A 21,475-nucleotide genomic window follows, 5' to 3' on the forward strand; every position below is an offset into this window, starting at 1 on the left:
GAGCTTAGTGGCCTCAGCCCAAGGCCCAGCCCCCACCCCCTCAACAGCCCTGGGACATGCTGAGGCTCAGGGTCCCCCGTGGAGCCTAGCAGCAGGATGCTGGGAGGGTGGAGTAAGCAGATCCATGGAGAGCGTGCGAGGGGGAGGGCAGCATGAGTCTTGGCCACCATGACTTGGCTGGATAAATGAAGGCAGCCTGTCCAGTTGGGACCCTAGCCAGCCCACGCCCCCTACCCAAAGGCAGGGGCCAGAGAATGGGAGCGTCTCAGGACACTGTGAGCAACAGGAGCCCAGGGCCCTCCAGGGGTATTCCTGGAAGGTACATCAGCCCTCCACCGCCTGGCTGAAGTTCCCAGGACCTGTCCCTTGCTGCTCTGGCACTTCTCACCTCCAGCCCATCAGAGTCTCCCCAGCCATCCTGGCAGTCCTCCTGGGCTCCTAGCCAGAGCCCAAAGGCCCCCATCGGGAATTCCATCTGTGTCCTCTGAATTGACTGCCCATCAAGCAAGCAGCACTGGACCCGCTTCCTGCCTGGCTACCAGTAGGAGGAGTGGCCAGCGCCACGCCCACCCTGCTGTCCACTAGGAATCAAGATGCAGACACCCTGCCGGGGCACAGGTGCCTGTGGCCTCCCATCAGCCCAGCCTCCCCCGACTCCTCCCCTGGGGACCACACTGCAGCCAGCCTGGAGCTCTCTGAATTTCTGAAACACATCACAATTTTTTTTTTTCACTTTCAAAAGGCCTGGCAGGGACATCCTGGTCCACGGAAGCGTGTCCAGGCCCAGAAGCACATCCTTATAGGAAATGAATGAATCCGTCCGATGACATTATTAAAATAACTTTCCCTGCTCTCGTTCTGGGCTCTCAAGTGACAGATGAAGAAATGACTGAAAAAATTTGATTTTCCAGATAACTCAACTATAGGGAGAGAATACGCTGACAATTTTTCATCCATTCATCAGATACTTCAACCTGTGTAATAGTTCTCTTTCTCATAGGATATTTAAAAATTAATAGTCCAGTGTATACATCATTCTCTGTAAGTTTGGTCATTGTAAGTCAGCCGATCCAACCCCAGTGAACATTTCAATTCTAGTTCCAGGGCCTGTGAGAGTGAGGAGCAGCCCTTGGAAGGTGGGCTGCTGCTATGATGTCCCCACAGCAGCCAGCCAGCCGGCCTTCCAGGGTGACACCTGCTGCATTTGCAATTTGATACTTTCACAACCTGGAACTCTGCTTTCGATTTTTTTTTTTTTTTTTGACACAGTCTTGCTCTGTCACCAGGCTGGAGTGCAGTGGTGTGATCTCGGCTCACTGCAACCTCCACTTCCCGGGTTCAAGAGATTCTCCTGCCTCAGCCTCCTGAGTAGCTGGGACTACAGACACATGCCACCACGCCTAGCTAATTTTTGTATTTTTAGTAGAGACGGGGTTTCACCATGTTGGCCAGCATGGTCTCGATCTCTTGACCTTGTGATCTGTCCGCCCCGGCCTCCCAAAGTGCTGGGATTACAGGCACGAGCCACCGCGCCCGGCCTGCTTTCAATTTTATCTCACTTAACCCCCAGATATCAGGCCCCTAGTGGATCCCAAGGACTATGCAGGCACTTGGACAAAATTCTGCTCTCTTTTCTCACCCTTATTCTAGTTCTGAAGGAGTCTTGTACCCCTTGGGCAAAGAGAAGAGCAACAGACTGGGAGTCTGGGGCTCTGGATTCAAGTTCTGCCTATGAATTGAGTCAAAAAATGGCCCTGAACATGCCTCTTGGCCTCCAAGCCTCCATCTCTGCTGTGCAATGATTTGGACCAGAGGGGACCTCTCAAGGCTGTGAGGAAAAGGAAGGGTCAGAGGAGGTTGGCCTTGCAGAGACCAGGCTGGGCAGAGCTGCAGAGAGAGACTCAGACCTGGTGCCAAGGGGCTGAGAGCAAGCCCCACAGGCAGAGCCTGGAGGGACCATGGAAAACAGCCCCGGCTGTGTTTACCGTGGGAGCTGGTCTCACCCGCGCACATAAGGAGCGGAGCTAGTCTGGCGGGGGCGTTGCTGGCTTGTCCCCAGGAACGGGGCTGCATGTATATGTGTGGGCAGGCACGGCTGGGCACCCGTGGGTGCTGACTGTAGTCAGGAGAGCTGGCATTTGTCCCTGTGTGCACTGCCTGTGTGACCCGGAGCACATCTCCTAACCTCTCTGGCCTCAGCTTCCTCTTCTGTTGACCACTGGGAGAGGAGATTCTCATTCATTTGGTTCATTATTTCATTCATTCAACCAACATTCTTCCAGGTTTGTGGCAGATTCTCAGAGCCAGGCACTGGGAAGACAAAGATGGCTATGGAGCGGCTCTGGGCCCATCGGAGATGGGCCCACAAACTCCTGCAACAGCCAGGAGAGCTCCCTGCTCATGCCCCGTCACGCGGGGCCACGTGCAATGGAGCACAGAGGAAGCTGTGGCTAACTCTCTGGTCTGCGGGGCTCAGAGCAGGCTGCCTGGGCAAGGTCACACCTCTACCTTGAAGGATGGACAGGAGGTCATGGGGTGACCAAAGCAGCCTGCTAGAGGAAGTGGCCAGTGCACAGGTCCCGGCACAAAAGACCCATCCTGTGACACACACCCAATGAAGCTTGTATGACGCTGAATTACAATCACTGTTTACGTCTGTGCCTTGCACCATTTCCTGAGCACCATAAAGGGTAAGGATTGCCAGATGCATCTTCCCATGCCCACCCAGGGCATGGGCATGGGCACAGAGGAAAAGCCAGGGGGTGTCTTCTTGGGTAGTGTCCGCGGTGGGAGGGAGGGAGGAAAGGAGGGGCTGCTCCAGTCAGGCAGGGGCATGCAAGGGACGCGCCCACACTCCCATAGGAAGCACAGACAGGGCCATCTCTGGGACTCTACCTCTGGGACTCCCGGAGCCAGGAAGGTGGCCGTGTACTCAGCCAGTGCCACGTCGTTGAGCATGTTCTGCGCCAGCTCGGAGAGCAGGAGGTTCCCCAGCCCATGTCTGTGCAGCTCCTGCAGCAGGTGGGTGATCAGGCGGTTCCTCTCCCGGCACTTCCGGACGAGGGAAGCTATCTTGGCCTGAAAGGGAGGGAGGCCATGGATGCAGAGCTCCCACCAGGGCTGCATGGCTGAGCTGGAGGGCTGGGGGCCGGAGGGTCAGCTGAGGCCCCTACTCACCATCCCCAGCCCTGCCTCAGCTCAGCGGAGCAGCCTCCTCCCTGCGAAGCCTCCCTGCCCCCAGAAGCCAGGCTGCTTTCGGAGCAGACGGCCACACACCCCCAGGGGCTCCGCACTGCCCTTTCCATGGGGTCTAGGCTCAAGGCAGCAGGGGTCAAGAGCGTGGATTTGGGCCCCACCACGGACCAGCTCTGTGAGCAAGCTCCCCTCTGCACCTCGACTTGCCCATCTGTACAATGGGCTTTGTCATGGACACCAGGATAAAAGGAGACGGCGCAGGCAGGCACCTACCGAGTGTCATGTTTCTATCCTTATCTCACATTTCGATAGCACTTTATAAGGGATTATGGCCTCCATTTAAAGAAATGCTCCACAGCAAATGATGGTGATGAGAGCGGTGGGGAGGGAAGCCTCACACTGCCGGAGCCTCACCGTCCGCTCTGCACCTTTCCAGCTACCACGTCTGCAGGGGCGCGGCAGGAATTATGACGATTTTTATTTTACGGGCGCCAACTCGAGGCTCAGACAGACACGGAAATGTGGGGTGGAAAATAACTTTAGGAACTGTCTGGCTCATGTTTCTGATTTGACGGCTGACGACACTGAGGCCCCAGAGGGAGGATGACTCTGCAGGTCAGCGGGAGTCCAGGGCATAACCAGGTTCTGCTGATGCCCAGCCCAGGGCACCTCCCTCTCCACTCTGCCCTGAGGCCAGAGAGAAAGAGCAGAGCCCCCAGCTTCTCCTCAGATCCAGGCCCATGTTCAAGATGAAATGTGTTACCTTGACCAAATTCTGTGTCCTGCTAGCAAAGAATATATTAAACCCCATGGGTGAGTAATGACATTTCTGGGAATTGATCTTAAACATAAATGTCTAGATACGTGGAGAAAACCTTTCTGAGAAAACCTGTACATTGGCCGGGTACGGTGGCTCATGCCTGTAATCCCAGCACTTTGGGAGGCCAAGAGGGGGTGGATCACCTGAGGTCAGGAGTTCGAGACCACCCTGGCCAACATGGTGAAACCCTGTCTCTACTAAAAATACAAAAATTAGCCAAGTGTGGTGGCACATGCCTGTAATCCCAGCTACTTGGGAGGCTGAGACAGGAGAATCACTTGAACCTGGGAGGCAGAGGTTGCAGTGAGCCAAAATCGTACCATTGCACTCCAGCCTGGGCGACAGAGTGACACTCCATCTCAAAAAAAAAAAAAAAAAAAAAAAAAAAAAAAAAAAAAAACTACATCACAGTGTTTGCACACAATTAATGATACAAAAGAGAGAGTGATAGAAAGGAAGGGGCTTGAGCACAGAGCGCAGGGGTGGTGATTTTATGGACCAAGGCCTCTCGTGCTTCACCCCAGCATGAAAAGTGCAGCCTCAAAGGCTGGGACCCACCTCCTAGGTCACCCCATCGAGTGGGAACAGCAGGAGGCAAACGTATACGCATCGTAGGCTCTCAAACACATGGGAAACGTACTGGAGGAAAAGACATGGAAATGCCATGTGCAAGCAGGGGCTGCTGCTTTCTGTCTCCTTCATTCTTCTTTGCGGTTTTTTTGTTTTGTTTTGTTTTGTTTTGTTTTGTTTTGAGTCAGGGTCTCACTCTGTTGCCCAAGCTGGAGAGCAGTGACGTGATCTCGGCTCACTGCAGCCTTGACCTCCTGGGTTCAAGCAATCTTCCCCCCTCAGCCCTCCCAAGTAACTGGGACTATAGACGCATGCCATCACGCCTGTATGGGATTTGGCCATGTTGCCCAGGCCGGTCTCAAACTCCTGAGCTCAAGCAATCCACCCGCCTCAGCCTCCCAAAGTGCTGGGATTACAGGTGTGAGCCACCGTGCCTGGCCCTACCCAGACTTTTATACAATAGAGGTGGATTACATGTCTAACAGGAAAACTACTAAACTCTCTTTTGTTTTGAAAGAGGCATTTCATGTTGATTTTATGAACATATTACCTTCAGGGGAGTCACTGCCAACTTTGCTTCATGTTGCTTTTTCTGAAGTTCTTCAAGCTGAAATAAAAGCGACATTTTTGACAACACTGCACTGTCACTTACCACTGTCCAGAGCTTCCCCAGGCAAGCTGGGCTCAGAACAGCTGGCAGTTGCCTGCCCTCTTTACCCTCATGGGGACTCAGTGCCAGGAACAGGGGCCTTTCCCACCACCTGCCTGGCAGGATCAGGGGAGGACAGATATTCTGAATACTCAAGAATCAGCTTGGCCGGGCGCAGTGACCCACGCCTGTAATCCCAGCACTTTGGGAGGCCGAGGTGGGCGGATCACGAGGTCAGGAGATCGAGACCATCCTGGCTAACACAGTGAAACCCCATCTCTACTAAAAAAAAAAATACAAAAAAAAAAATTAGCCAGGTGTGGTGGTGGGCACCTGTAGTCCCAGCTACTCAGGAGGCTGAGGCAGGAGAACGGCGTAAACCCAGGAGGCGGAGCTTGCAGTGAGCCGAGATTGCGCCACTGCGCTCCAGCCTGGGCGAGAGAGCGAGGCTCTGTCTCGGAAAAAAAAAAAAAAAAAAAAAAAAAGAATCAGCTCTGCCCAGCTGCAGTGGCTGGGGCCAGCTCCAAGCCCTCTTCTGAGTCTCCAGGCAGCCTGGCAGTTTTCTGGTCTTGTGGTAAACATACAAGTTCCTGAGCCAGACAGCAGGGGTCCTAATCCCGGCTCAGCCAGTCGCTGGAACTGAGATCTTGTGCAAGACACTCTCTGCCTCAGTCTTCTCATCTGTGAAGGGGGCTCATAGGAGTGCCCACCCACTGGTGAGAACTGTAGTGAGGATTCAGTGAACCTATCCATGTAAAGTGCTTAGAACAAGCCCTGGCACCTGTCAGTGATCAATAAACTAATGTTACTATTAGGCGCAGATGAAAGCTGGACACAGATTCTTTGAGACTGCTCCCCATGGAGGGGGTTCCTATCACCTTCCCTCAGATCTGGGCTGGCCTGAGATGCCTTGACTCATAGAATGCAGTGGAAGTGGCCCTGAGGCCTTTGTGGGCCTGGCACTGAATAGGACTGGCAGCTTCCACTTTGGGTCTCTTCTGTTTCTGAGCCAGGATTTAAGAATTCCAGGTGCCCTCTGGGGAGACCGTGAGACATGACAGAAAAAAGGGAAGGCACCAGCGGGAGCTGCCTTCCGCCACCCTGCAGAGGGGGCAGGATGTGAGTGAGGCCGCCGGGGACCCCCCAGCCGAGACTGGCATCCAGCCGGATGCCACTGAGTCATGCCCACTGATCCCCTGGAGGGCGGAACAGCCTAGCCGAGTCCTATCTGAATTCTGGACCCATAAGATACAACAAAACAGGTGTTGTGTGAGTTCTTCTAACTCTCTCAGTCCCTTTGCAGTCAGTTAAAAAAATCAAATAAAAAGCCGCAAGCCTCTTCCTCACCCCCAAACTCTTCGGACCAACATACCTATATGGATCAGAATGTGTGTATATGAAATTATACTGTGCAAAAGGTCTTGCATCTTGCTTCATAATTAAATAATATGCAAGATTTTAAAAGAATGAGATCACTTTGTATGTGATACAAAAATTTTGATGGTATTTTCATATTAACACATAGAAACTGACCTCATTCTTTTAAAAGCTTGCATGTTATTTAATTACAAAGTCAAAACAAAATTGATTTAACCAGTTCCTTGTTTATGGAAATTTATCTTAGTTCTGTTTCTTTGTTTTACAAAGAAGATTTCAATGCATATTTCCATATATCTGTTTTGGCACAGCATTCCTAACGTATTCAAAGAGTAAAATTCCAGCCTTAAGCAGACTGTCTTACATTCAAAAAGCACTCAATCATATTTGCAGCCTTGGATTAAACCTTCTGTCTGCTTCAGTTTAGGAAATAACATAAATATGCCACAGTGAGATAAGTATTGGGCATTTGCAATCAAAAAGTGAACAAGAAGAAATTAAAAAGATAACCTACAGAATTGGAGGAAATATTTGCAAATCATATATCTAATAAAGGACTTCTATCTAGAACATAAAAGGAACTCTCACAACTCAACAAAAAGAGAGTCAATTAACCCTATTAGAAAAATGGGAAGAATCTGAATAAACTCTTCTTCAAATACGACATACAAATGACCCACAAGCACGTGAAAAGATGTTCCACATTATTAGCCATCAGAAAATACAGCTCAAAACCAATGAGAGACAATCTCCCACTAACTAGGATGTCTATGATAGAAAAGACAGCTAGTAGCAAATGTTAGTGAGAATGAGAAGTTGGAACCTTCCTACACTGCTGGTGAGAACATAAAATGAAGTTATCAGAGACACTCTTCCTCTTTAAAGCAACTGCGATAGAGATGTTCAGGAATTACATTACAAAAATTTCATCATAAAACTGAGAACTATAAAAAAAAGAATCATAGGGAAATTCTCCACCTGCAAAATAGACTAACTGAAATTAAGAACTAAAGTGAGTTTAGGAGCAAATTAGATTCATCCAAAGAGTACTATTTAGCTGGAAGAGAGATTCAAAGGAAATATTGAAACTGAGCAGAAAGAAAAAAGAATGAAAATAATTTCAAATATACTTAAAGTCTAATTCATGTGTAACTGAAGTTTCCACACACACCCCCTCCCCACAGGCCAGTGACAGATAAGAGAAAAAAGCAATACTAGCTCTTGTGTTGGTTGAAGACACGGTGAACGAGACACACTCATTTATTGTTGGTGGCATGGAAGTGGATACCACTACTTTGGAAAGCAATTTGTGATATATAGCTAAGAATCAACAATATTGCCACCTTTGGAGCCAGTAGTCCCAGCTCTCTGAACTGTTATATATAAACAGTTATGTGTAAGTTCATAGAAATGCTCTAGATGCAACAATTGGGGAATAGTTAAGGAAACCACATCCACCCAATAGATTACTACACAAACAATCATAGATTACCACACAGTCAAATAATCATATGTATGAGGACTATGCAGCCACATGGGCAAATGAACATAAAACTCTACATATAACATGCTTTGATCTTACAAAGAACACATGGGAGAAGAGCTGGAAATTATACCGTAATGCTGAGGCTGTATTTTTCATCCATTGACTTGTCCAACAATTGTAAAGTTGCTAACATTCAGGATAACGAGTTATGGGCAAATGAGTAGACTTGTTTCTTCTTAGTGGGAGTATAAATGATGCTATCATTTTGGAGGGTTACTTGCCATTACCTATCACAGTTAATGATTTATATATCCTTTCTTTTGCTAGAAATTTGCCATTTAGATATACAGCAGAAGTATATGCCGAGAGAGAAATAAAAATGTTCATTGGAGCTGTGTTTGTAATGCAAAGAAATGGAAACAACTTGAATTTCCACAAACAGAAAAATTGATTAAATAAGTTATGATTTGGCCTCATGATGACATAATACACACGATTTTAAAGGAATGAGTTCACTTTGCATGTGTTGATATGAAAATGCCACAAGATTCTTAATTAAATGACAAAATGAAGATGCAGCATGGTTTTGTACAGTATAATTTCAAACATGTACACATACACACACATTCAGAAAGTGGGTGGTAGAGTTGAAAAAATATTGGAAGTCAGAAAATGTTAAGGTTGAGGAGAAGGAAAGCTTTTATATTTTAGATGATTAAGATTTGCAGACAGTTGTAAGAAATAATACAGAGCCCTCTTGTACATGTTTTTTAGAGACAGGGTCTTGCTCTGTCACCTGGGCTGGAGTGTACCTTGAACATTTTGCCCGGTTTCCCCCAGTGGGAATATTTTGCAAAACTATAGTGTCATGTCACAACCAGGAATTGAAATGGCCACAATTCACTGATCTTTTTCAGATCTCTCCAGTTTTAAACGTGTGTGTCTGCGTGTTAAGTCCCGTGCAATTCTGGTACCTGTATAGGTTTGCACCTGCACCACTGTATCATAGTCACGCCTACTTCCCTCTGACAGAGGAAAGGCTTTGACTTTTATTTATATGACACTGTAAGCCTGCTTGACTTTTTAAAGAAACCACATATGTGCATTTTTTAAATTTAACAGGGAAGCAATCATAGAGCCTGTGGTTTTTTGTTGTTTTTTTTTTCCTGGTACTGCCTTATACTTTAAAAATCCAGTACCTGCTCCCAACTGGCTGGGTCAAGAAGACCTCAGCAAATCTTTGTTCACTCCCAAAACGCCCCGGGGTGTGGGAGCCCTGGCTGACAAGAGGGGAAAGAAAGCACTTCCCACACCTTGGCCTGGAGCTCCTCCTGGAGGCGGGTGGCCTCGTCCAGAGACGCCTGGTGGGCAGCGCCCTGGTCCCTGAGCTGGCACTGCAGGGTCAGCACCCGGTGATGGAGCTGCTGGGCCCGCAGCCTGGGATCCTCCTCAGTAACCTCGGCCTCTGAGTCCCGGAGCTGCGGAAATCACAGATTTGAATGAAATGTTTAGGTTATCCTTCAAGCAATTTGCCTTAGCCAACAAACGGTACCCGTTTCCCCACTCCGTAGTTTTTTTTTTTGTTGTTGTTGTTTTCCTGCTTATATTTCTCTTACAGTAAGTTTTAGAAGATAAGGTAGCAGAAATCACTCCCAATCTGATTATCCTGTAGAATCTTTATTATCCATAGATTTTCTGCAGATTTCCTGCTAAGTCCCTAGACACGTGCATGTATAGGAGTGGGTGGTTCTGCTTGGTTTCCGGAGGTGGGTGTTGGGGAGGGCCTGGAGAGTCCCAGAATAACAGCCTGGAATATTAGCTTCAAAAATATGTGCAGTGGGGTGGCATTCCAGAATCTGCTGTAATAGATGCCAGTCACTGTTATACTGAAACAGTGTGATGAGTGAAATTGAATGTTCCAATCAAATTATGAGATGCCTATTATGCTAAAGCATAATATATTTATATGAAACAGAAGATACTGTGTCTCCCACAGGCACTTTTCTTAAATGAATACACAATTGCCTGTCACTCTTCTTGGATCTAACATGAGATTAGCGGGTTTCATTCAGATGCCAAAGGGAATTTCTGGGAGGAAGGACAGTGAGAGGGAACAGGCTGGCTTTGCATTGTGGGAAGTGTGGCAAAATGGGAGAGGTGCTACTGCCCCCAAATGGTTTTGAAGTCTAAATTCTTATTTTTTTAAATAACTCACATACATATATACACACAAGCACACATAAACATACATACTAACACAGATTTTCTATATAAAATTTAAAATATGATATATTTGTTTTCTGCTTTTCTCCCTTAACACCGTGTTCTGGGCGTTTTTCCATATTACCAAATAATGTTGAAAATGCTGTTATTAGTATATACGCAGCCTCCTGTGGCCGTGCTGAACACTCGGATTATTCTAACATCTTGCTGTTATAATTGGAACTGTGACAAAGGCCCTTGTACATAAATACTTAGACATACCTCTGATGCTTTCCCTGAGATCATCAGGGGGTATTTCCAGGTGAACAAAGTGAGTATCTTTTTTTTTTTTTTTTTTTGAGATGGAGTTTCGCTTTTGTTGTCCAGGCTGGAGTGCAATGGCATGACCTCGGCTCACCGCAACCTCCGCCTCCCAGGTTCAAGCGATTCTCCTGCCTCAGCCTCCCGAGTAGCTGGGATTGCAGATATGTGCCACCACACCCGGCTAATTTTGTACTTTTAGTAGAGACGGGGTTTCTCCATGTTGGTCAGGCTAGTCTCGAACTCCAGACCTCAGGTGATCCACCCGCCTCAGCCTCCCAAAGTGCTGAGGTTACAGGCATGAGCCACCATGCTCGGCCCGACATGAGCATCTTTAAGCTCTTGGTTCATGCTGCTGAGGCGGCCTTAGAAGAAACAGCACTGCTAAAAGTTCCGTTTGTGAAGATTTAGGAGCCCAGAAACTCAAACGCTTCTCAAACTCCCTTCCCCTTGTGATGGCAGTTCCCTTTTCCTGTAAGGCAGCTTCCCTGGGAATTGTAAGGCCCCCAAAACTCATCCCGACCTAGCAGGGGTAGGTAGGAGGGGGATCCCAAGCTACCCTGCTTGGGAAAAAGAGACGAGGGAGAAGAGGAGGAGAAGGAAGAATTCAGGTGACTCCAGGGCTGCTGGGGCATCTCTCATAATAAAATATACAATAGCAGAAGATTTTTTTTTTAATTAATAGAAATATACACGACATGGGCCTGAGATGCACGGGCTGGGCCGTGTTAAGAACAGATGGGTGCTCTGAATGGTCCCGTAAAATTCAGCTTCAAGACGTCAAAACAACTTGGCCTTTCTGGGAAGTACATTGCCTCCTCTACCTCCCTCCTCTGGCAGTGACTTGGACCAGAGCTTCGTCTCATGGGTCCTCAGAGAGCACCAAGGTATCCTCTAAAGAGAATGGCTGTGCGGTGGGGGGTGGGCAGCCTGCTGTCCCATGGGATCACCCCACACAGCAGCCCTGTGAGCTGCCCAGAGAGTCTCCTGCTGTCTAGCAGACATCATGAGCACATGGGCAGGGTGTACGCTGGCCTGAGATGGGCGGTGGTGACGCTGCCCTCCAGGAGCTCAGGCGGGTGTGGAGAATGACAGGCAGGTAGTTCAACATTCAATACAGCCTGATAAAGGGAAGCCAGGAGGCTGTGATGACCTGAAGGGGGCACTGAACAGAGACATCATCCAGTTGGGGGGTGGCAACTGTACAACAACCACATCTGGGTTGGGGGGACAGTACCAATTTGTAGCATTTGCCAGTTTCCATGGCGTGAATATTCCCACCATGACTGACTGCAAGCTACCAAAATGGTATCATTGAAGGCAGAGTTGGGAGGAGACACACATGAGCTGGGAGGAGACACACATGAGTAGGCTCTGACTCATCTCTGCACAGAACCAGCCTGGGGGTGGGGGGAAGCTTTCTGGAGGAGAGGCCCCCCAGCAGGAGACCTAGAGGAGAAAGCTGGGTGCAGGGAGAGGTGGATGAAGAAGGTGAAGAATGAGGGCAGAGGTGGCAGCATGGAGTGTGGAGGCTGGGGGTATAAGCAGCAACAGTGGAAGCTCCCGAGAGTCTCAGGGGCCAGAGCACTGCTCACTGTAGGAAATTTGGATCTCATGCCCAGTGCAGTAGGAAGCCACAGAGGGTTTTCGGTCAAAGAGTAATACATCAGGTGTTGGTGACTTCTGCTCTATCACCAAGTCCCGTGGACTCCAGCTCCACTTTTCACTGCAAATTCCTCAACCCCAGTGTCACCTCTTGGCTATCCAGCCACCGACTCCTCTCAGCTGTTCTCCTTCAATCCACCCGAACCATTGTTCTTAGAGCAGACAGATCTTTTCACGGTATAAACTGGGTCACATCATTCTGCTCAAAACCCTCTGTTGGCTTCCTACCACATCTAGAAAAGATCCAAACAAGGGCCTGCAAGCCTTCTGCAACCTGCCTTGTGACAGCTTCTCCAACCTCATCTCACACCACACCCTTCCTTGCCCATTGGAATCCAGCCACGCTGACTACTTTCTGTTTTTCCAATGAGCCAGCCTCTGTCCTGCCTCAAGGCCTGGCCGCTCGCTTTTCCCTCTACCTGGAATGCTCTTCCTCGCTGCTCTTTTCTAACCTTCGAAGTCTCAGCTCAACATTCAACTCCTCAGATTTCCACACTCCTACTCACTGGTATTGGACAACTATAGAATCTGGGGAGAATATATACAAGTAATGCTTTGCAGGCATTGGAAGATGACTAGTACAGGGTCACAATCCTTAAGAAAAAGCCTGCACAACAAGGCAGGCTCCACATTTTCCCTGGGTTTCTCTCTGAAATATTTTCCAAACAATGGTCTCGAAAATAGAGCCCAAGCTGAAAGTGTTGGTCCTGCTAGATGGAGAAATAGAGCTTGGAGTTTAAGGATGCTAAGACTGCTGGTGTTTGTGGGACAAAGTAACAGGGAAGAGATAGCTGCAGAGAATGAAAGTCCAAATACTGTCCTAGAAATGCCCCTTGGGTCCTTGGCTGAATCACAAGCTATGTGACACAGTAGAAGACTCTAAGCCTTGCAAAGAACAGCAGCTTGGAGGTTAATTGGTGAAGAGATGTCACAGGTCACACACTTCTGAGAAGATTGCAGAGTTCTGGCAAAGCCAAAATGGAGAGCACTTGGTGAATGCTGTGGAACTCAGCTGATATCACTGAGAGGCCATGCCCTAAGAGCAAGGGCCTCACCTTAGGAGTAATATCAAGCCCTACTAGGTCTGAGGGCAAAACTTAAATAGGCCTACACAAGAATAAGATGATCTGCTGATCACGCAACTATCTGCCAGAATAAAATTCACTCAACATTCTTTGGAGAAAGACAATAATCAGGAATCTTCATAAAATATTATACACAATGTCCAACATAAAAGTTTTTGAAATTCCTAGACATGAAGAAGCAGAAAAATGTGACTGTTCACCATTAAACAAAATAGTCAATAGGAGCAGGCAAAGAGATGATCCAAATATTGGTGTTAGCAGCAAAAACAAAACAAAACCAAACCCCTCAAGGTCTTCAAAATAATTATGATCTATGTATTTTTTAAAACATAGGAAAAATAAAGAAAATGGATGTACAGATGGACTATTTCAACGGAGAACCAGAATCTCTTTTTAAAAGAATAAAATTGATATTCTAGAACTGCAAAATACAATAAATGAAATTAAGAACTCATTGAATAGATTTAACAGAAGGTGGGACATGGTAGAATACAGGATTAGTGAACTAAAAGAGAGGTCAATAGAAAATGCAAACAGAAACACACATTTTTTAAAACTGATACAGGATTTTTGAAAGATGTGAAATAAAGCCAAAAAGTCTGAATTTCTAGAAGGAGAGGAAAGAAAAATAGAACAGAATGAAATATTTGAAGAAATAATGATCAAGAATTTTCTAAGTCTGACAGAAAAGACAAAAATACACAAGTTCAAGAAGCTAAAAAAAAAAACCAAACAAAAAAATTAAAACAAGCAGGACAAAAACAAATAAAACCATATCTAGGCACATTATAGTGAAGCTGCCAAAACTCAAAGATAAATAGGAAATTATAAAAGCAGTCAGAGATAAAACAACACATTTATTTTAGGGGGAGTGAGGGAGAAAAACAATGACAATTATGACTGATTTCTGGACAGAAACTATGAGAGGCAGAAGACAATGGAATGAGATCTTTAAAGAGCCAAAAGAGTGAAATACCTGGCTACCTAAAATTCAGAATCCAATGGGAAGAAAAAAAATTTAATGAAGGTTAAAAAATTGTTTTCATAAAAAGAAATATGAGAAAATTAATCACCAGAAAATTATCACTACAAAAAATCCCACAGTTCTTAGGGCAAAAGGAAATCAGAGCCACAGAAGAGTAAGAAAGAAAGAACAGAATAAGAACATGTAAAGATACGGGTAAATGAAAAATATATGATTGTTTAAAATAACAGTGGCTTATAAGATTTATTCTACATAGGAGTAATATATAACAAAAATAAATAATAAAAAGTAAAAAGATTAAATGAAGTTAAACTATTGAAAAATTTTTATATTAATTGGGACATGGTAAAGAAAACTAATTTAAAGTAAATTTAAATAGTTACTAGATACATTTTTGAAATGCCAAGGGTAACCACTAAAAGAATAATACTAAAACATAAGCTAATGGAGAAAAAAAATAAATAACAAAATATAATTAATACCAAAAACAAAGGGAGGAAAGAAAGAATAAAAGAAAACAGAACAGATGAGACAAATAGAAAAAATAGTAAATAAATAAAATAAATTGTCTGGGCACAGTGGCTCACACCTATAATCCCAGCACTTTGGGAGGCTGAGGCCAGTGGATCACCTGAGGTCAGGAGTTTGAGACCAGCCTGGCCAACATGGTGAAACCACATTTCTACTAAAAAACACAAAAATTAGCTGGGCGTGATGGTGGGTGCCAGTAGTCTCAGCTACTTGGGAGGTTGAGGCAGGAGAATCACTTGAACCCAGGAGGCAAAGGTTGCAGTGGGCTGAGATCATACTACTGCACTCCAGCCTGGGTGACAGAGCGAGACAGCGTCTCAAAAATAAATAAATACATAAAAATTAAAGAACATTATAACATATAGATTTTAAATAACATAACTAAAAAGAGAAATACACAAATGCACACTCAGAGTGGAAGATTTTAAAACATGTCTTGGTTAATGACAAAACAAATAGACAACATATCAGCAAAGATAGAAGAGATTTTGTTAGGACAATTAACCAGCTTGGCCTAATTGATATACAACAATCAAACAATGTTCATTCTTTACAAGGGTATGTGGGATATACTGTTGGCCATAGACCACAACCTGGTCAATAAAACAAGTCTCAACAAATTTTGGAAGACTAAAATAATATACTGTATATTTTCTGACAGCAATGAAATAAAACTAGAAATCAAGGACAAATGTATAACTGAAAAACTCCAGAGATGCTTAGAAATCAAGCAACATATTTCTAAATAACCCAATGGGTCAAAGAAGAAATCATAATAGAAATTAGAAGCTATTTTAGGTTTTTTGTTGTTGTTGTTGCTTGTTTTTATTTCATCCTTTTGGACTTTAATTTCTAAATCAATACAACAGGGCTAGCTATAACAACGTCATTTTTTTTTTTTTTTTTTGAGACAGAGTCTTGCTCTGTTGCCCAGGCTGGAGTGCAGTGGCACAATCTCGGCTCACTGCAACCTCCGCCTCCCAGGTTCAAGCAATTCTCCTGCCTCAGCCTCCCAAGCAGCTGGGACTACAGGTGCATGCCACCACACCCAGCTAATTTTTGTATTTTTAGTAGAGATGGGGTTTCACCATATTGGCCAGGCAGGTCTCGAACTCCTGACCTCATGATCCGCCCTCCTTGGCCTCTCAAAGTGCTGGGATTACAGGCATGAGCCACCATGCCTGGCCCTAACAATGTCATTTTGAGGCAATTTTGAGGAATAAATGATAGTATATAAATTTCCTGGCACATAGTAGATAGGCAGTACATATTCCTTACCTCTAATCCTTAGAAACTATTTTGAACTGAACAGACTTCATCTCAAAATGTGTGGGATGCTTAGAGAGAAATTTATAGCTTTAATTGCATAGATTGCAAAAGAAGAACAGCTGAAAATCAATGACCTAAGTTTTCAACACAAGCAGCAAGAAAAAGAACAGCAAATTAAATCAAAAGAAAGTGGGAGAAAGAATATAATAAGGCCTCGTACGGTGGCGCATGCCTGTAATCCTAGCACTTTGGGAGGCCTAGGTGGGCAGATCGCCTGAGCTCAGGAGTTCGAGACCAGCCTGGGCAACATGGGGAAACCCCGTCTCTACTAAAATACAAAAAACTAGCCGGGCATGGCGGCATGTGCCTGTGGCCCCAGCTACTTGGGAGGCTGAGGCAGGAGAACTGCTTGAACCTGGGAGGTGGAGGTTACAGTGAGCCGAGATCCCACCACTGCACTCCAGCCTGGGTGACAGAGCGAGACTCTGTCTCACAAAAAAAAAAAAAAAAAAAAAAAGAATACAATAAAGGTCTAAGAAGAAACCAATAAATCAAATACAAACAATAAATAAAATCAATAAAAGTAAAAACAGATTCTTTGAAATGACTGATAACATTGTTGGGGGTGGGGAGGAAAGAGAGAAAGGAAAGAAGGAAGAGAGAGACAAAGAGAGAAAGAGGGAAAGGAAGGCAGGAGGGGGAGAGCAAGAGACAGAAAGATGGAGAAGGAGACACAGAGACAGGAAAGGAGGGAGAGAGGGTGGAGCGAGATGGGAGAGAGAAATAGAGATAGAAAATGGAATGAATGAATGCCAGGGTCTCAACGCTAAATATCCTACACATGGTGAAGGCCACCGTAGGAACATTATGAGTGTTTTATCCCAAGACTCCCAACAGTCAAGAACTGTCCACAGATGAGGAGAGTGACTCAAGCGAAGTCTGCATGTGGCCTAAAAGTCACAGCTCTGAAAGCACAGAGCCGGGTTGGAACCTGGTTTTATCATGCTCTACAGTCCATTGTTCTTTTCATTGCAACTTTCAAGACCCAATGTACAGAATTAGTACTTGGAGCACTTGAAAAACCCCAGGGTTGGAAAATGCAAGGGCTGATCTTAAAGTGTGAACACCCCGTGGGTGCCCTGCTGGAGTCTAAGAAGAGGGGCAGGCTTGAATCTCCCATAGCAGGTGGGAACAGAGATCCCGGGATCAGAGCACCCAGGTGTGAGTCCCTGCTCCATCCCTCACTGGCTATGTGACTGCAGTGACTGCATTTCTCTGTTTTCTTTGTACCAACCTCCTCTCATCTGGTAAGTGGGGAGGATGATTGTACCTCCCTCACAGGACTCTGGTGAATTGCATAAGTGAATGGGGTGGCCCCCGGAACAGAGTCATGCGTGATGAGTAAGCAGATATGCAGACCCAACCTACCATGGGGCCATTGCTCAGGGAGCTCAGAGCTTGCCCCTGAGCCACAGAACACCTGGGCCTCTTCTCCTCTTTCTCCAAATGTGCTTCTTTCACTTCTGCTCCACTGACATTTCCTTGCAGGGCATTGGCTACACCAGTGTTTCTCCAGACCAGCGATGGAGGGGGAGAATCAGCACCGCGTCTGGAATTCCCGGTGCCTGTGGAAGGTCCTGTCTGCCCTGCAGCCAGACTCATTTCCTCCTCCAAGGGTGGCCCACAGGCTCTTGAAAGCAGCTGTCCTGTGAGTGGAGTCACCTGCACCTCTTTGTCTAGAGCGTGCATCTTGGCTTTTCCCTGGAGGTGCTCCCTTCCCCTCACCAAACGCCCCTGATCCGTGCTCCTCTGCAAGGTGACTTCCCTCTCCAGGACATGGACCCTGCGTAGAAGGTGCTCGTTCTCCCCACTTAAGGCCCGGATCATGTCTTCTATTCCTAGCACGATATCCTTTATCAGCTCTTTATAACTGACGCCAAGCTCCGAGATCAGTGTCTGGAGCTTCCAGTTTTCCAGGGTGACTTGCTCCATCGTGTCTTTGGATTTCCTGACACTCTCAGACGTGGCTTTCTGGAGTTGGCCCAGATTCCCTTTCAGTGTTTCATTTTCCTCTTCAAGCTCCAAAATTTTGCAGTAACTCTTCCCATTGCAGTCTTCAAGGTCAGAGATTGCCTGTAAATATTGATCCAGTTCTTTCTTTAACTGAGAGATGTCCCCTACCAGCCTGTGGTTATCCCGCTCGAGCCTGGATATTTTTGTCACCTCTCTCTCTCTCTCTCTTTCAAGGGCGCACACTCTTTCATGGAACCTCTCTTGGTCTCCGTGAAGTTTGGTGTTGTCATGTAAAATCTGGCTTCTCTGTTTCTTCAATCCAGAAATGAGCTGATGAAACCTGCTCCTCACTCTCTCGAGGGCACCCCAGGGCTCAGCAGGCCCCTGTGGAGGGTTTGGGCTGGCTTCATCCCAATGAGGCAGTGTCCCTGGGTTACCAGGAACTTCGCTGGTGCCCAGGGCCGTGGTCTTTCCCGGCTTATCACCTTCACCACTCTCTTTAGACTTCGCTTCTTCATTAGAACAAATACCCCAATTTCCCCAAACCTGCTGAGAGTGAGCTCTCTCCCAGCCACTGTGCCACTTCTGAGCAAAGCTCCAGTTCTCTCCCCTACATGCAGAGGCTGAGCACTGCCAGCCCCTGCTGCCCGGCTGCAGGGTGGACAGCTGCTGGAAACAAGCCTCCACGTCCTGTGCAAGCTCATCGATTGTGAGTGCACACCTGTTGTGTCCTTTGCTCACAGCCTGTGGATGACCATGATCAGTGGGTTCGGCCCCTTCAACTGATAAGGCAAATCTGGGAAACAGTGGCAAACCTGTCTCTCCTGCAAAGAAAAGCATTTCCTTGCTCTCATGTTCCTGGGAGTCAGGCTCCTCGGGGGCACCCCTGCACCCCAGACCGGATGCTTCTTGATGCGGCATCTCATCCTCTTCCTCTAGCCCTTTGTCCTCCAGGCTTCCTCCTTGCAGAAGCAGAGCATTTCCAAGCCACACTTGGTTTTCCTCCTTGCCCCTAGCTGTCCTCCCAGTGGCTCTGACTTTCCCTGCGAGGAGCTGACTGTCTGTTGGCCATGGCTCTTTGGTCTCATGAGCCCTGGAGAAGGTGGCTGGGGGTGCCACTTCCTCATTCTCTGATGACAGTCCTCCTCGGAGACCCCAGACGTATCCTTCCACCCTTTCCCTCCTGCTCAGGGATTCGGGACCCTCCTTTGATACTGAGGCCTCCCCCTGTAGAAGAGGCATCAAAAACTCCTGCCAGGACCCAGGGCGGCAGGTGGCGGCCTTAGTCTCTGAAGCCCCATTCTGATCCTGCACGTCCTCTGCAGCTCCAGCCCCATTCTCCAAGCTCAGGTTCTGATGGCTTTCCTGACTTAGCTGGTACTTGTCACCAAGGTTTTTCCCCTTCCTGCCCAAAGTCCCCCTTGCCTTCCCCTCTTCAGTTCTCCCCGCAAGGCTTCCTCCTCCATTGTTCCAAGTGTCTTTCAGATCCTTGGGGTGTTTTTTCAGAAATGGGTGATTTGAAATGTAGGGGGCCTCGTGGAAGAGGGAGGCACCGCGGCCTCTTGTCTGGTGACAATCCCAGCCTGGGTGTCCTGTGGCTTTGGGAGGAGGCGGGGACCTGGTGGCCAACTCTTCTTGGATTTTTTGTCCATCTGAGGGAACCTCCTGGAGCAGCAGTGGTCGCCAAGAAGCGGAGTCCCCAGCCGGCCCCCAGAGAGGGAGTGCGGATGTCTGCACCAGGAGAAAGGCTTCTGCAGCTGGGTCAGCTGCTAGATTCTCTGAAATCCAGGCCAGGTCCATGCGGAGGAGTGACTCGTCCAAGCACTCCTCTGGTGGGCAGCCACAGACCAGGAGAAGAATCTGTTCATCCAAGCTGGGCTCTGCCAGAGTAAGCTACAAATGGAGAGAGAAGATGAGGTGTGAAACAGCCCCTTCCTCCATTTAGCACCCCCACCTCCACTCACCTCCTGGGGTTCTCCGTGTTTCCTCACCAGCTGCACAGGGGACAAGCTCTTTCCCACACAGGACACAGCTGGTACCGCCCCAGGGCCTTTGCACGTGCTCTTCGCTCTGCCCAGAATGTCCTTCCCCTAGATGCCCTCATGGCTCACTCCCTGGCTCCATTCACATCTCAATGCAAATGTGACTTCCTTGAAAAGGCCCTCCCTGACCGCTCTCCCTCACTCTCGGGCCATCCACCCTATGTCATCTTCTCCCACAGCACCCTCCATGCCCTCACACCATATTATATATTTCTGTCTATATCATCTAACTCCCCCTATAGCCCTGCCCTGTCCAATCCACTAGTCATAGGCCACATGGAGCTCCTAAAATGTAAAGTAATTAAATCAAGGTTAACATTCAGTTCTACGGTGGCAATAGCCCCATGTGGCTCGTGGCTACTGTCTTGGGCAGTGCAGATGCAGACTGTGAGCAGCGCTGCAGAAGGCTCTCATGGATGGGGCTGGTGCAGGTGGTCCACTCCCTGAGGACAGGACTTCATCTTTGTTCAACTCCTGGGCCTAGAACAGTGCTGGGCACACAGGAGGTGTTTCCTCCATATTTTTAATGTATTTTTATCTTCACTTATGTGATGTGTTTATCCAGAGAGGAGGAGCCCAGCTCACAGCAGAGGCCCCAGCTGGGCTGAAGGAGGCCTGAGGATGAAATTTGCCTTGAGCTAGGCTCACTGTGAGTCCGCAGGGGCTCCTCCCAGACCTGGCAGGCTGCAGGCAGTTCTCAGTGGAGCCCCTAGAATAGCTGGGAGAGGCTGAGCAGGTCTAAGACACAGAAGAGAAGGACAGAGGGAGCATCTCAAAGGACAGAGGGGGTCTGAGCCTTTGGAGGGTGACATACCAGCAGCAGAGCCCCCTCAGGCAGAGGGGGCTTGAAGGCCAGGAGTGCTGCCCCTGCCTGGAGGGGCCACCGCATCCCTGCTCCCTGGAGCTGCCAGTGGGCAGCACCTCGTCCTCTGTTGTCTTTGCCTTTGTCTGCAATGTCCTTCCATCCAGACACCAAGGCACTGTCCCAGCTGCCCACAGAGAAAAGAGCACTTGCCCCAGAAAGGTACAGACCTAGAGACCTGGCTTCAATCCTGGGTGTGACCTTGAGCAAGTTCCTTAACCTGCTGGAGCCTCAGCCACCTCACCTGTCAAATGGGGCACCTCCGTGTTCTAAGACATTGCCCTGGGCTTCAAGGGAAGGGGGCGGTGAGGAGCGAGGCATATAGGGATGTGACATCCAACAACAAAAATAAGAGATACATCGTGAGCAGGATGTGAATGAATGAAGAGATGATGGAGGGCCT

General features: G+C 47.5%; 1 protein-coding gene across 7 annotated transcripts in view, besides 4 other annotated features; it reads right to left on the reverse strand.

The window, feature by feature from the left end:
- C4orf50 (chromosome 4 open reading frame 50) overlaps positions 1–21,475 on the reverse strand; it is a 120,960-nt gene that overhangs the window by 73,177 nt on the left and 26,308 nt on the right. For 6 of the 7 annotated variants that reach the window (XM_047415667.1, XM_047415663.1, XM_047415664.1 and 3 more), the window contains 4 exons: positions 17,584–20,061; positions 9,411–9,575; positions 5,136–5,192; positions 2,896–3,078 (listed from right to left, as the gene is read on the reverse strand). In XM_047415667.1, the coding sequence (XP_047271623.1) occupies positions 2,896–3,078; positions 5,136–5,192; positions 9,411–9,575; positions 17,584–20,061 (2,883 nt within the window). The remainder of the gene's footprint in view (positions 1–2,895; positions 3,079–5,135; positions 5,193–9,410; positions 9,576–17,583; positions 20,062–21,475) is intronic. The other variant, XM_017008893.2, reaches the window with a different exon arrangement.
- Positions 225–1,035: an enhancer, noted in NCBI's record as "H3K4me1 hESC enhancer chr4:5972715-5973525 (GRCh37/hg19 assembly coordinates)". NCBI's record gives its function as "activates a minimal SCP1, AML or CMV promoter by ChIP-STARR-seq in naive H9 embryonic stem cells {active_cell/tissue: H9 hESC(naive)}" and the evidence as "EXISTENCE:reporter gene assay evidence [ECO:0000049][PMID:30033119]".
- Positions 2,657–3,218: an enhancer, noted in NCBI's record as "H3K4me1 hESC enhancer chr4:5975147-5975708 (GRCh37/hg19 assembly coordinates)". NCBI's record gives its function as "activates a minimal SCP1, AML or CMV promoter by ChIP-STARR-seq in naive H9 embryonic stem cells {active_cell/tissue: H9 hESC(naive)}" and the evidence as "EXISTENCE:reporter gene assay evidence [ECO:0000049][PMID:30033119]".
- Positions 3,219–3,779: an enhancer, noted in NCBI's record as "H3K4me1 hESC enhancer chr4:5975709-5976269 (GRCh37/hg19 assembly coordinates)". NCBI's record gives its function as "activates a minimal SCP1, AML or CMV promoter by ChIP-STARR-seq in naive H9 embryonic stem cells {active_cell/tissue: H9 hESC(naive)}" and the evidence as "EXISTENCE:reporter gene assay evidence [ECO:0000049][PMID:30033119]".
- Positions 12,087–12,266: an enhancer, noted in NCBI's record as "active region_21247". NCBI's record gives its function as "activates an Ori minimal core promoter by ATAC-STARR-seq in GM12878 lymphoblastoid cells {active_cell/tissue: GM12878}" and the evidence as "EXISTENCE:reporter gene assay evidence [ECO:0000049][PMID:35858748]".

Source organism: Homo sapiens, chromosome 4, assembly GCF_000001405.40.
Source record: "Homo sapiens chromosome 4, GRCh38.p14 Primary Assembly".
Lineage (NCBI taxonomy): Eukaryota > Metazoa > Chordata > Mammalia > Primates > Hominidae > Homo > Homo sapiens.